The 13,317-nt window shown below is 43.9% G+C and overlaps 1 protein-coding gene, 2 long non-coding RNA genes and 1 pseudogene across 5 annotated transcripts in view, besides 1 other annotated feature; 3 read left to right on the top strand and 1 right to left on the bottom strand.

Annotated features, from left to right (window-relative positions):
• The window catches only part of EGFLAM-AS5 (EGFLAM antisense RNA 5), a 33,866-nt gene extending 32,338 nt beyond the window's left edge, over positions 1-1,528 (top strand). The window contains exon 2 of the long non-coding RNA NR_199676.1: positions 736-1,528. This is a non-coding gene — a long non-coding RNA (EGFLAM antisense RNA 5). The remainder of the gene's footprint in view (positions 1-735) is intronic.
• EGFLAM (EGF like, fibronectin type III and laminin G domains) overlaps positions 1-13,317 on the bottom strand; it is a 206,922-nt gene that overhangs the window by 29,452 nt on the left and 164,153 nt on the right. For all 3 annotated transcript variants that reach the window (NM_001205301.2, NM_152403.4, NM_182798.3), the window contains 4 exons: positions 10,937-11,062; positions 8,777-9,020; positions 4,741-4,852; positions 776-892 (listed from right to left, as the gene is read on the bottom strand). In NM_001205301.2, the coding sequence (NP_001192230.1) occupies positions 776-892; positions 4,741-4,852; positions 8,777-9,020; positions 10,937-11,062 (599 nt within the window). The remainder of the gene's footprint in view (positions 1-775; positions 893-4,740; positions 4,853-8,776; positions 9,021-10,936; positions 11,063-13,317) is intronic.
• On the top strand, positions 5,441-6,180 carry LOC124901186 (60S ribosomal protein L27-like; annotated as a pseudogene).
• Positions 8,232-9,431: an enhancer, noted in NCBI's record as "MED14-independent group 3 enhancer chr5:38426700-38427899 (GRCh37/hg19 assembly coordinates)". NCBI's record gives its function as "activates an origin of replication core promoter dependent on BRD2, BRD4, P300/CBP and CDK7 cofactors, and independent of MED14, by STARR-seq in HCT116 cells {active_cell/tissue: HCT116}" and the evidence as "EXISTENCE:reporter gene assay evidence [ECO:0000049][PMID:35650434]".
• Positions 8,653-11,174, top strand: EGFLAM-AS1 (EGFLAM antisense RNA 1). Its single transcript, NR_046737.1, has 2 exons — positions 8,653-8,937; positions 10,948-11,174. It is a non-coding gene; the product is annotated as an EGFLAM antisense RNA 1 (long non-coding RNA).

Here is a 13,317-nt window from a genome sequence, read left to right as displayed (position 1 = left end):
CTGGCCAACATGGTGAAACCCTGTCTCTACTAAAAATACAAAAATTAGCTGGACGTGGTGGCAGGCACCTGTAATCCCAGCTATTCGGGAGGCTAAGGCAGGAGAATCGCTTGAACCCAGGAGGTGGAGGTTGCAGTGAGCCGAGATCACGCCACTGCGCTACAGCCTGGGCGACAGAGCGAGACTCAATCTCAAAAAAAAAAAAAAAAAAAAAAAAAAAAAGAGAGAGCCGGGGGAGTCAGTATCTTTCACTGAATGTTTTTTTCCTGAACCTTCTAGGGAAGAACTCTTTAATCTATGCTCTTAAGAGCTTGGTTACATGATCAATGAACACCAACTGCTAAAGTGTAGGGGTGGGGATGAGCACTGGCTCTAATGTTGAGCAAACTGCAAAGTACCGCAAAAGAGAAGCGCAGAGCCAAGGTTGCTATTCACCTCCGTCCACCTCCTTCCCTACTGTGGAAGTATCTGCAGACACATGATGCCATTTCACTCCCTCAGCAGTCCTAATATAGTTTGGTAGATTTGCCATAAAAATTCATCATCACCAAGTAGCATTCATGGAATGTCTGCCGGGCATAGACCCAGGAGCAGATGTTCTAAGAAAGTGAGGTTGGAAAGCCATGCTGTGGGCATTAAAATAGAAATTTTTAAAAATGTTAAAACTTTCTCAAAGTGTCTTTCTTGGGTGCAGCAGATGACACTGATCATAATCCTCACTTTCTTTGTCTACAGTCTGGGTGGCCCAGTAAACATGAGGAAGAGATGCCTGTACCTTCTGGATGCTCCCGCTGAAAGGCTTCAGGACACCCGAGTTCTTCTTCACATCATCATAATTGGGGACTCCGCCAATGAAAATGTCTGTGTTGCACTTAATCTGTGTGAAGCCTCCCTGCCAAAAGATTAAAAACAAAGCATTGTATGACTTTAAAACAGATGTTCAAAATGATCAAATGTGTCTTCAGTTCCCTGTTGGGGAACAAAATGGTAGACAGAGCCTAGAGACCCATCATGACAATCTGTCTACACAAGGGCTTCACTTTCACAGTGTTTCTCATTGCTCCTTACCACCTGCCTGAATGTTGGTGAACGTCTTAAAGTCTCTGAGACTTCATTTCATTGTCTGCAAAATGGGAGTCATTGTATCTACCTCATAGCTATGTCATGATGACTGTGGCAGACTGCACTACCGTTCACAGGTACCCCTCCCCACAGGAAGATTGCCTCCAACCTGTCGGCTCAGATGAGCTTGTGTGACTTCTTATAGCCAATAAAACATGAGCAGAAGAGAAAAGAATCACTTCTGGGCAGAAGCTTTCAGAGCCAGAGAGTAGTTCACCATGCCCTTTTCTCCTTCCCTCTGTTCCTTCAGCCCAGATCTCAGATTACAGCTGCAGCTAACCATTGGTGGATATGTATCATGAGTGAGAAATCCTTACATTTGAGAGCTCTGGGAATGAACACACTTTAGGTAATGTTAAGTTATTATTTTCTTTGATTTACGATAAAATAAATACAAATAGTAGCAGCTTTGATCATTGATTTAACAAATATTATTAGGCACATACTACAATATGCCCCAGCCACTATGTTAAGTGCTGGACAAACAGCAGAAAATAAGAAAGACCCAGTCCTGCCCTGCAGGGGTTTATGCGAGCAGGGAATACAGACAAGTAAAAGAGCAGGTGATATCAGCACTGGGAAGAACTGTACAGGTGGCTATGGGTGCACCTGGGTGCCGGACACGGGAGTCTCATATCCTACCCTAGACACAGGGAGTAGGGGAGGTGGTCAAGGAAGAGTTAACATTGTAGAAACTGGAAGACGTTGGGGCTTAGAGGGAATGTGAGTATAAGGCACAGGCGAGAGGGGGCCAGAGCATGCAGAGCCTTACACACCACATTACGAGCATGAATTTTACCCAAAAAGCAATGAGACTTAAGCAGGAGAGAGAGGTCTGTGCTTTGGAAGATCATTGGCCAGAGGGAGGAGAATGAATCTGGGGTCATGTCAAGGGTAGAGAAGACAAGACAGGCGAGTCATGGAGGAAGAAGCTCTGTTTATCTTAGGGAGTGCCCCCATGGCTGGGTCCAGCCAGGTAGCCCAGGGAAATTTCAATTAGATTAATAGACCAAAATGCCTTCTGTCAATAGCCTTCCGGCAGCTTTGAGGGTTCTTCCTTAACTAGGAGGTTAACAAAGAAGTATAAAGGCTTTCAGGAATTCTTGTGGCCCAGCAGAATACTGAACCAGTCAGGAACTGTCACCACAAACCCACAGGCATCTTTCTCTTGTCATTGCTCTTACACAAAAGCTAAAATAAGATGGAAAGAGGAAAGGAGGAAGGATGCAGGGTCAAGGAGGTTTCAGAGCAGCTGGCTGCTAGGAAAAAAAATTGCATTATGGCTGTGTCCAGCAGCGGGGCCTCGTGGAGTGAGGAGCAGTTCCTTTTGGCTGCTCATCAAAATCGTCATGCAGCACCCTCCTGCTGACAAGTGGAAGGGCTGCAGCTGCCATGCCCAAGGGGGACCGCAGGAGAGAAGAAAACATATCCCACCAAAGCCAGGCCTGCTCTGCAGTGAGGGGTTTTGTGTCTGGATCCTATACTTTGGCTTGGCTGGAAGCAGTTTGCAAAGCTGAGCAAACTTCCAGGCTGGAGTTTCCTGAAAGCCTCAGAAGCACTGCTCTTCCACGTGTCTTGCATAGTCGGACTCAAGCCCAGGCTTCTGCTGTTTCTCAGAGCTGCCAGCTGAGCAGCCTGGTGGTCAGGTTTAGTCTGCACACAGGCTCTTAGGTGCTTAGGTCCTGGGTTAGCCCCTCAAAGTGTACTCTAACCCCTGCCCTACCTGTCTCTGAGCTCTAAGACCACTGCCCTGTCAGCCACACTTCGAACATGATATGGACAGCTGGGGAGCAGAATTCCTTGTGGAAAAGACTTGATGAAGGTTTAGCATATGGAGATCAGGCATTGGCCTTCCCACTCCTGGTTCACAGTGGACTCAGCAGAATGTCCCTCCAATGCACACACCAAAGCCACACCTTCCTGTGGGTTCCTTTTTCTTTAAAACTCCAGTCAGCTCCATTCACCCACATGTCGCCAGAGGTAAAAAAGCCAAAAGGGAGAGTGTAGGTGTCACCGTATTGGTTTCATGCTCTTTTGCTGATGTGCAGTGATAGAAACTCTCAGGTGTGGTTTTCACCTATGTGTTGTCTCTTAGATCCTAATAGTAAATACTGTGTCCTGAAGAGTAACTTATTTATAATCATGGACCTTGCCCCTACTTTTGACAAATGTTCCCATCCTCAGCTTTTGTTCCTGTTTTACAGATGTTTGCAACTAAGATCTATAGAGATACAATTGGATTTATATCATTAAGCCAACAGACAGCGAGGTGTATTCTCGTGAGCTTCTAATTCTGTCCTGGACTAAAGTCGGCTGTTAGAATGTTCTGGATTGCACCAGAAGTGACTCTGGTTCTCCATTTAAAATCAATTTCCATTCATCCCCTCCTTTCTTCCCTCCCCCCTTCCCTGCCCCCACCCTTCCTCCCTTCCACAGATATATATAGAGCATTTTCTAGGTGTGAAGGGTGCCCACCTCTTGAAACAGAACCCAATTTGGGATTCCCCTCATTCCCAAGGAGGCCCTTGGTTCCAATTCGTCCTCCCACCACTGCAGCCCCTCAGGCTGGCTTCTGGACACATGTGTCCCTTTTTCTTCTCTCTCCAGTCAAGTACCTCTTTCCCCAGCGAAAGTCTCTTTTCTTTCCTTTTCTTTTTTCTACTAGTCTATTTGCTTATTAATATACCCAAATTTATCAATGTCCTTTGCAAATCTTCCTTTACACAGAATGAAAACTGGTGGGAACTAAGATATTGGCAAATCTAAAGTCCCCTCTATTTTTAAGGAACTATAAATTGTGTGTGTGTTCGCAGAATCCTAGCAGGCTATAGTTTAAAGCAAATCTCCCTGACTTCCTCTTAAAAATGTTATTTTTCTTTGAACATAACCTTGGAATTAAAATCATGGAGGAAAGTTATAAACTTAAGTAGAAATCCTATCCTCTTGAGTCCATAACCATACACTATTCACCACGACCACCACCACCACTACTGCTACTATGTAAAGCTATTTAGTGCTGACCTGGCATCAGGTACTGTTGTGTTTTACATGTACAATTCTTTTAATTCTCACAACAACTCTGTGAAGTAGGCACTATTATCATCACCATTATCCCCATTGATAAGAGGATAATGCTGAGACAAGAACAATCTTGGTAGGTCAAGTAACCAGTATGAGCTCACACCACTGGTAAGTAATTGAGCCAGATTTTGAGCCCCAGGAGTCTGGACTTACAGCCTGTTCTTGTCAGGCCTCCCCCATGCACCACAGGCCCTACCCCAGAGTCCATGTTCTTACCTACTACTTGCTGTAGCTGATAAGAACAAAGGTGGAGTTGGGAGGCGAAGAGGTGAAAGGCAATTTTGTAAGTGCTAAATGTATTGGGTATCAACTCATTTAATCCTCACAACTCTATGAGGCCCATACTATTATTATCCCCATTTGTAGCTAAGCAATAGAAAAGTTAAGTAATTTGCCCAGTGGGGAGCTGGGATTTCCACACAGGCACTGAAGTCCATGTAGTTAACCAGAACACTCTGCTGCTTTTCTACCAAGACAGGCAGAAAACAGTAATCTGGCTCACACTAACCATCAAGAGAAAAGGTGTACTGTTCTTACCTCTGCCATTCCCTCCACTATCTTCTGCTTATCCACCTGTAAGATTCCATTCTTTGCTGTGCGAGATACACGAAGCTCGTGCCAGTTGCCCAGGGTGAGGGGATCTTCACTCCTGTGGAAGGAAGATGTGATATTATTTTTATGTATCGAGTTGATTAGGATAAGGAATGCCCAGATAGCTGGTACAACATTATTTCTGGGTGTGTCTGTGAGTGTGTTTCTGGTAGAGATGAGCATCTGAATCAGTAAACTTAGTAAAGATCTGCCCTCACCAACCTGGGCAGGCATCATGGAATCTGCGGAGGCTCTGAACTGAACAAAAAGGAAGAGGAGGGGGGAAGTGCTCTCTCTTCTTGAGTTGGGACATCCACCTTCTCTAGCCTTGAACATCAGTGCTCCTGGTTCTTTGGTCTTCAGACTTGGACCAAGACTTACATCATCAGCTTCCTGGTACTTGGGCCTTTGACTTGGACTGGAACGGACATCATGGGCTCTCTGGTTCTCAGGCCTTCAGGCTTGGACTGGAAATACACCACTAAATTTCCTGGGCTGCCAGCTTGCAGATGGCAGGCCAGGGGACTTCTCAGCCTCCATAATCATGCAAGCCAATGCCTCATGATAAATCTCTCTACATGTCTATTTATAGCCTATTGGTTCTGTTTCCCTGGAGAACCCTGATGAACATAGAAGGAAACCAAGCATGGGTTAGCATGTTATGGATCATTTTTGTCAATCTAGCCATGAGGAAACTAATGCTAACCTTAGGCACACCAATCCATTCAGTAAAAAGAAAACACTAATTACTGCTTAGTAACAACAGCAGGATTACCTACTATTTATTGGATGCCTTCATACAGTAGGAACATTGCATTTATTGTTTTATTTATTCCTTACAATGAGCCTGAAATGGGGTTCAGTGAGTCTGGTGAAATGGGTTTTCTAGATGAGAGGTGGCATGAAGATAAAATATGGTCATAATTGCACACAAGCTTGGAAGAAGAGAAAAATTGTAAGAGCTATGATGTAAAAAACAAATTATTTGGCATACCAATGTCTGTAACATACTTTGAAACGCATAAAAAATAAGAAGGACCTTTCTGCTATAGGCCTGAGTGGTTGCTGTTGAAAAGGGCAAGTTCCTGAAACCTGGGAAACTGGTGGTGGTCCTGGCCAGATGCTACTCCGACGCAAAGCTGTCATCGTGAAGAACATTGATGATGGCACGTCAGATTGCCCCTACAGCCACCGGATATCCCCTTGGACAAAACTGTTATCAATAAAGATGTCTTCAGAGACCCTGCTCTTAACCACAAGGCCCAATGGGAGGCCAAGGTCAAGTTTGAAGAGAGGAACAGATGGGCAAGAACAAGTGGTTCTTTGAGAAGCTGCAGTTTTAGATACTTTGTTTTGGTCATTAAAATTTTTTTTTAAAAATTAAGAAGGATGGATGGACAGATATAATAATGGCTAGATATGTGATGAGGCAAATATAGCAAAACGTTAATTACAGACTATAGGTGCTCGGTATCAGGATGCTTACTGTACAATTCTTCCAATTTTTCTATATGTTTGAAATTTTTCATAATAAAATATTGGGAGGGAAATAGATTCCATATTTTCTGATATTGTAAAAATGATTAAAATTACATTAAAAGTTCAATTATTCATTCAAAGTGGAAGTGCTTAAAGTTTAATGATATTTATGCAAGTTTTACTCATTACGTTTTATAGTGAGGTGTGCAGAAAGAGACTCATTATTGCATTTGTATTTCTAGCAATGTCTAGTTCCTGGCCCTCGCTGAACTTCCCAATTATCTTGTGGTCCTGGATCATCTTTAGAAAACCATGAGGAATACCAATGGGCACAATTATTGAAAGGTCACCACCCCCTCACTTGATTTTTGCTTTGGCAAATGATTTTGTGATCTGTTCTTAGCAATTAGAATTTAATCACCTTGGCTAAATCAATATGCAATAAAGAAATAAGCAGCCCTTTTTAAGTGGTCTATCTCCATAACAGAGCCATTTCATGTTTTTGTACTGCAGAGGTCATTTGCTGTCAATATGCCACCTTCCTCAACATCCTTTTATCGATCACAGCCATCAAGAACTCATTCCAATTGTCGTGATTTTTTAATCAAGTTCATAATGAATTTGCCCATCTTATCCTATTCCTAAAGTTAAAATGATCTGGCCAATTCCACAACTTCCTGTAGTTTGAGTTTTCACTGCATTGTCTTAATTGAGCAAGAAGTCTTTGAAATGGTTTTCAAAATAAACAGCTTCCAATGGGGCATCTGAAACACCAAGAGTAATCACTGTTGTTAGCTTACGCTCAGGAGGGGATAGGATAAGGGGGCAGATGGTGGTTTGTCCCTCAGAAACTCTTGCCTCATTTTCATCACCTAATTCTTAAAAATTCTTTTTCCAGTTGCCTTTGCTGACAGGCAGTGAAACAATAACTTAGTAAATTTACAAAAAAAAATTAAAAGCACCTCGTGTCAAAAATAAGCACAGAGTTATGAAAGAGAGAAATGCTGGACTTCTAAGGGTTCCATGTGCTTGTGACCCCACAGCTGGAGCTGCCACTGCAGAGAGGCAGTGTGGAGGGGGTAGTCTGTCCAGGAGGAGGGCTGATGAGCCCAGAACCTCTCCTGGATCTTTCTGGTCATTCCCTATCCAGGAAGAAAACCATTTAAAAGTGCAAGGTGATATTCAAGGTGTCTTCCTTTGTCAACTTGACATACAGTTCTAAGTGAATTGCTTAGGCTATTTTGCATAATCATATGTAAATTGAATCAATTAAATCCCCACCAAAGTTGTCTTGAAATATAGGATGTTTTTGCATAACCAGAGGTACAACAATATTTGTCCGTTCCCCTAGAGGGGAAGGTGTCACTGATGTGCAGGAATTCAGCCACAAGGACAAAAACAAACCATCCTTTTTAAGAACTGTTAAAACCTAATGCAGTGAGCATTTTCTATCAGCCAGGAAAAATGATCAGTAGTTAAGGGCAATGCATGGTTGTAGCATCTCACCTACATACTCTTTTTAAACATGACAGTCTAGCAATATGGATAAAGATTGAAAACAGTTTGCAATATTCTTTGAAACAACAGACTAACTGATACCCTGTTACAGGGCACCATGGAGCAAAACATCCTAGTGAGTTTCAAAAAAGACGAATTAGACAAATGTAGGAACAAGAAGCATGTCTGCATGCGATTAGTGGCCCCTCTGGCTTGAAGGTTAAAACTACCATCAACACAATAAAAAGATGGGAGACATAAACAAATAAAAGCGTCTGCATCTACCAACTACAGGCTCCAAGGAACAATCGACCTGCTAAGTAATTTAATAGTACAAACTAGATAACAGTAGGAAAGTTTTGACTACTTACACCAATTCTGCAAATACCAGCAAGTACTGCAGAAGCACCCATTTCCTGCTATGCTATTGAAACCACTCATCACACATCTTTCTTGAGCATATTGCTTAGGGAACGGGTCTCTGCATTGCTGATGATTCACTGTCAATTTCCATTAAAGAAATAGTTCAAGAGGAAAGTGAATATTTAGAGTGAGGTCATCAAGGATATTTTTGTTCAAAAATATTTGTTAATACTTTTTTACTAGTTGACATGTATTTGCTGGGTGCCCATCATGTGATGCTCTGTATGAGATGCTGACTAGTTACAGTTCATCAAGTTTCTGCGGATGACATGACATAACTTTAGGTGGAAATGGAGGCAGTTTACCTCCACCTGAAGCAAGTCCATTTTCCATAGTTTGAAGCATACAATTGCTACCTGTTGGGTAGTTATTTGAGAAAAGGAAGCCTTGTGGGCAGGAGAGCACTCTCTATAGGAAGCCTGTCATCTGCCTGAAGCAGGACAAGTCAGGACAAGTTTCAGAAGATAAGCATGTAGAGAAGACAGGATGAGTGTGAGCTGTTGAATGGCGATTTGGTTTTTTTCTGAAGCAGTTACTATTTGCCTTTTTAAGGGAAAGAGTCCCAGAAGTTTTCAGCCCTCACCTGAGGACACCGGTCCCAGAGCCACAGTCAAAGCGGAACTCCACGTGGCCCCCTGCCAAGTTGATGGACAGGAAGTCTTTGCTGCCTGTGTCATAGCTGTACAGGAGGACACCATCTCCTGAGTCTGGCCGAAATGTGATCTCAAATTCCATGAAGGAAAGGTAATGCTGGGGCTCCAGTGGCCAGGGAGTTGCAGCGTAAGATCTCAGAGACTCTCTGAACTGAGGAATGGTCAAGGTGAAAGCTGAAAAAACAAGCATGGTGTTAGAAATCCCTCTGTGGCAGAAACTGGCCAGATGTGCACCCATAGCTGTGTTCTTTCCCTCCTGGGTACAGACCTAAACTACAATTCCCAGCAGCCCTGCAGTTAGGTTGGTGGTGTGACTGAATTCTGGCCAGTAGAACATGGGTGGAAGAATCATAGAGCACCCTAAGTCTGGCCCCTAAAACTTCCCTCCATCCTCCATGCTCTTTCTCTCCTCTCACGTGCTGGCAGGATGCAAGTATCAGTGGAGGACTCTAAGGCCCTAGAAGAGCCATTAGATGGAAGGAAACTGTGTCCCTGTATAACTGTGTGGAGCAGAACCCCCTCTCTCACCACCATCTTTGACCTGCAGTGATTTTGTAATATGAGCAAGAACCAGCCTTGATTATGTAAGGCTACTGAAATATGAGCTGGTATGTAACAGCATTGGCTTACCCTGACTCACATGCCCTCTTTTAGGTGACATGAGATTTGAGATCACAAAAGTTTTCCCCAATATGGTATCTTAGGTCCAAATCTGAATTAGGGAAGAATTTGACTAGTTTTGTGATCTTAGCCTCAGTTTTATTTTCTTTTTATTTTAATTTCAGAATTCTGCAAAAATGATTTTCCAAAATCACTTTTGGAACCCTCCATGATTTTCCAAAATCTTTGAAATTTTCTGTTATTATTTGCCTGTGTGAGCGCACATATGTGTATTTGTGTGCATGTGTTTCCATGTTTATATACACATGTGTGTGCATGTATATATATTTACATACTCTCTGTATATACAGTATTAAAATGTGGCATAATTTAGTAGAACAGTACAAAAAAAGGTTACTTTTGTCCCATCACATTGTTAACGTTTCTGTGTCTACCTTCCCTATCTTTTTTTTTTTTCCCAAGATGGAGTCTCGCTCTGTCACCCAGATTGGAGTACAGTGGTGCTATCTCGGCTCACTGCAACCTCCGCCTCCTGGGTTCAAGCAATTCTCCTGCCTCAGCCTCCCGAGTAGCTGGGATTACAGCTGTGCACCACCACACCCAGCTAATTTTTGTATTTTTAGTAGAAACGGAGTTTCACCACGTTGGCCTCGTGATCCGCCCACCTCGGCCTCCCAGAGTGCTGGGATTATAGGCGTGAGCCACTGCGCCTGGCCTCATCTTCCCAATCTTTTATCAGAAATTGACAGAAATTCTAAAGAGCATGAGCCTGAGCTTTAAAGGCTTTGAATTCAGTCTGATACAAACCATACCAATACAGGCTTTTTAAAAGTTATTCAAGGGCCAAGAGGAGCCCACTGATTCTTAGCATCTTGAAATGAACATATGTTTGGCTGAGGGACGGAGGTGCCCTGCAGTAAGAAGTGCTGAAAGGCTCAACATCAGATGAGTGAGTTCTCATTACCAAACAAATTTTGGCACTCAGAGACACTCCAACCTTGTTTAAAAAGTTTCCCCCATCTCTCCCAACAAAGCAATGTTGATCCCATAAAAATGTATGGGGCTTTGTTAGATTTGTTAAAAGTACATTGATGAGGCCTGGCGTGGTGGCTCACGCCTGTAATCCCAGCACTTTGGGAGGCCGAGGCGGGTGGATCACTTGAGGTCAAGAGTTTGAGAGCAGCCTGGGCAACATGGTGAAATCCCATCTCTACTAAAAATACAAAAATTAGCTGGGCGCCTGTAGTTCCAGCTACTCGGGAGCTGAGGCAGAAGAGAATCACTTGAACCCGGGAGGCAGAGGTTGCAGTGAGCCGAGATGCGCCACTGCACTCCGGCCTGGGTAAGAGAGGGAGCCTTTGTCTCAAAAACAAACAAACAAATTAACAAAGAAACTATATTGATGATAAAGTACATCTACACAAATTAACATGCAGATAGAAACCGCCTTCAACTTGCTTCTTTCTCACCATCTTCACAGTGTCGACCTTTAAACCCAAGGGGACAGAGGCAAATGTAGGAGTCGGCTTTGATTGCTGTGCAGGTGCCACCATGGATGCACGAGGCCTCATCACAGATTCCACTGCTGCATTCCCCTAAATACAGAATGGGAATTACAAAGCCAATCCTCCATGTGTGCCAGTCCAACACAGTGGCGCTGACCCCACCAGCAGCTCATGGTTCTGAATAAATACATTTCAGTTCTTACTCCTGTTGATTTGCAGCTCTGCACAACTGCAAATGGGCTTTCAGGATAAGTGGAACCTGCTCTTCATTTTAATTTGATTTTGGTTTGTCCTGTATGAAGAGCCATAGAGACTTTAAAAAACATGATGGACACAATAAATCAAATAATACATTTCTGGGCAATTTTATGACCACTAACTGGGATGACTAAGCTGTTTCTGCTTTAATTCATCTCTCTCTTGCTCCCAACAGAGCATATTTCAATCCCTCCAATGTCAACAGGGTGTTTATGTTAAAAGCATTCTAAATTGCATGACCCCAATTAGCTTAAGTGCTGCTGCCTTGTTGGTTCAAAGTTGAGACAAGCAAGGTAGGCACAGAAGGAGTTACCCAGCCACGTCTAAGCTGATTAACTCACCTGGATTGTCAACTTCTCTGTCTGGGGTAGGGAGCAGGGAGGGAGGGCCCCATAATACATTGGCACATGGGTTTCAGAATCCCTATTTCTACTTCCAAAGTTACACCCTGATGAGGGACAGAAAGGTGGCCTGTGGTAAGAAGGCTGAAAGGCTCAACATCTGATGAGTGAGTTCTCTTCACCAAACAGATCAGAGAGATCCAGAAAGGGTATCCTTTGTCATTTTCAAGTGCAGGTCATCAGAGGAAAACAAATGGACTTTTCATGGGCTGTTTTTCTTCTGCTTCTTTGTGTTTTCTCTTTGTGTGTAAGAAATCAGTTAGACAGATGGACCACCATCTGGCCCAGAACCACATGAGGGAGTACAAAACACTTTTTCTGGGGGTGGAGGTAGAAGGGCGTGCCTCTGGAAGTGAAGGGTCCAGCTGTGCTCTCTCCCAGTCTTCAAGGCTGCCCTCTGCATGAGCTGGTAGCCCACCCTGTGAGGGCAGGAGCCCTCCTTGGCCTGAGTGTGTCATCTCGGCAGGATGAATCTCTCACCCTTCCCTCCTTGAATTGGTCCAGTCTTTTCATAAAGACTCACTGGGAGGAGGGGTAAAGGCCAGGCACCCAGGTTAGACCCAGGAGAGGAGACTGACTTCAGGGACTGCTAACAGAATTTGATTAAAGCCCGTGCAGATGGCTTGCCTCCCCAGCTGGGGGTGGCTAGCCTCTGTGAATTCCAGCTGGTGGCTACTGAATGTTCAGGCAGACATGACCAGTGGTCTCCAGCCACAGCCCTAAGAATGTCACCCCCAGCATTCACAGCCTCCACAGAGATGCTGGCTGACTTTGATCTTAAAGAGCCAAACTCTCAAAGGTCCCTGAGCCCCGCCAATTTCTGTGGGTTGTGATTCCTTCCCAGAGCTTGGCTGGATCCACAGGAAGAAGCGGGATCCTTGTATGTTATTTTAGATGTACAGAAAAGGATTACATTACAAGTCTTATGCATTTTAACCATTTTTTAAGAGGTGGGGGTAGGGGAGGGGAGGTCATGAAAGCCAGATGGAGTTGCTGACTTGGTGAAAGCAGCATTTCAACAAGATTACTCTGGGAATGGCATGCAAAACAGACTGGTGAGTGATAGGAGTGGAGGAGATGAAAAAACTCCTATAGGGAGTGAACAGGATGGCCACAAAGAAAATGGAGAGACTGTGAAGGATCAGACATCCAAGGAAGTAAGAAATGAGAGATTCATTCTAGAGGCTGAAAGGCAAGAACACTCCTCCAGCACAATCTCAAGGTTTGTAGCTTGAAAGACTAAAATAATGGTGCAGGAGGGAAGAAATGAGAGTGGCTGTGAACAGGACCTGGCTTCTGCAAAGCAAAGGGAGAGGTTGCTTTGGTTGGATTTAAGTCTAAGGTGACTGTGGAAATACCCAGTGCTGGTATCAGGCCTTGAAAGAAAGGAGAGAGGTTCCCAGAGTTTCCAAACCAGTGTGGGTACAAGGTCACACAAGGCATGGCACCTGTGTGAGCTGGAGAGAACCTGAGCATGGGTGAGTAAGCCACAGCAGGGGCTCTGTGAACCGAGAAGGAAAATATATTGCATCTGTATCTTCCCTAGCCTCTGCCTGGAGCTGGGTATGTATTTCCATCAACTTTCAATACAGGCAAGATACTTCTAGTGTTAGTAGTTCTTGTGAGTTGTGACCAATAGACCTCACAGCTGTTGTCACCTTCCATTTATTGCACATTTTTTGAAGT

Source organism: Homo sapiens, chromosome 5, assembly GCF_000001405.40.
Source record: "Homo sapiens chromosome 5, GRCh38.p14 Primary Assembly".
NCBI classification, from domain to species: domain Eukaryota; kingdom Metazoa; phylum Chordata; class Mammalia; order Primates; family Hominidae; genus Homo; species Homo sapiens.
The sequence above is the reverse complement of the archived record's forward strand: the minus strand, read 5'-3'. Positions and strand labels throughout refer to the sequence as shown.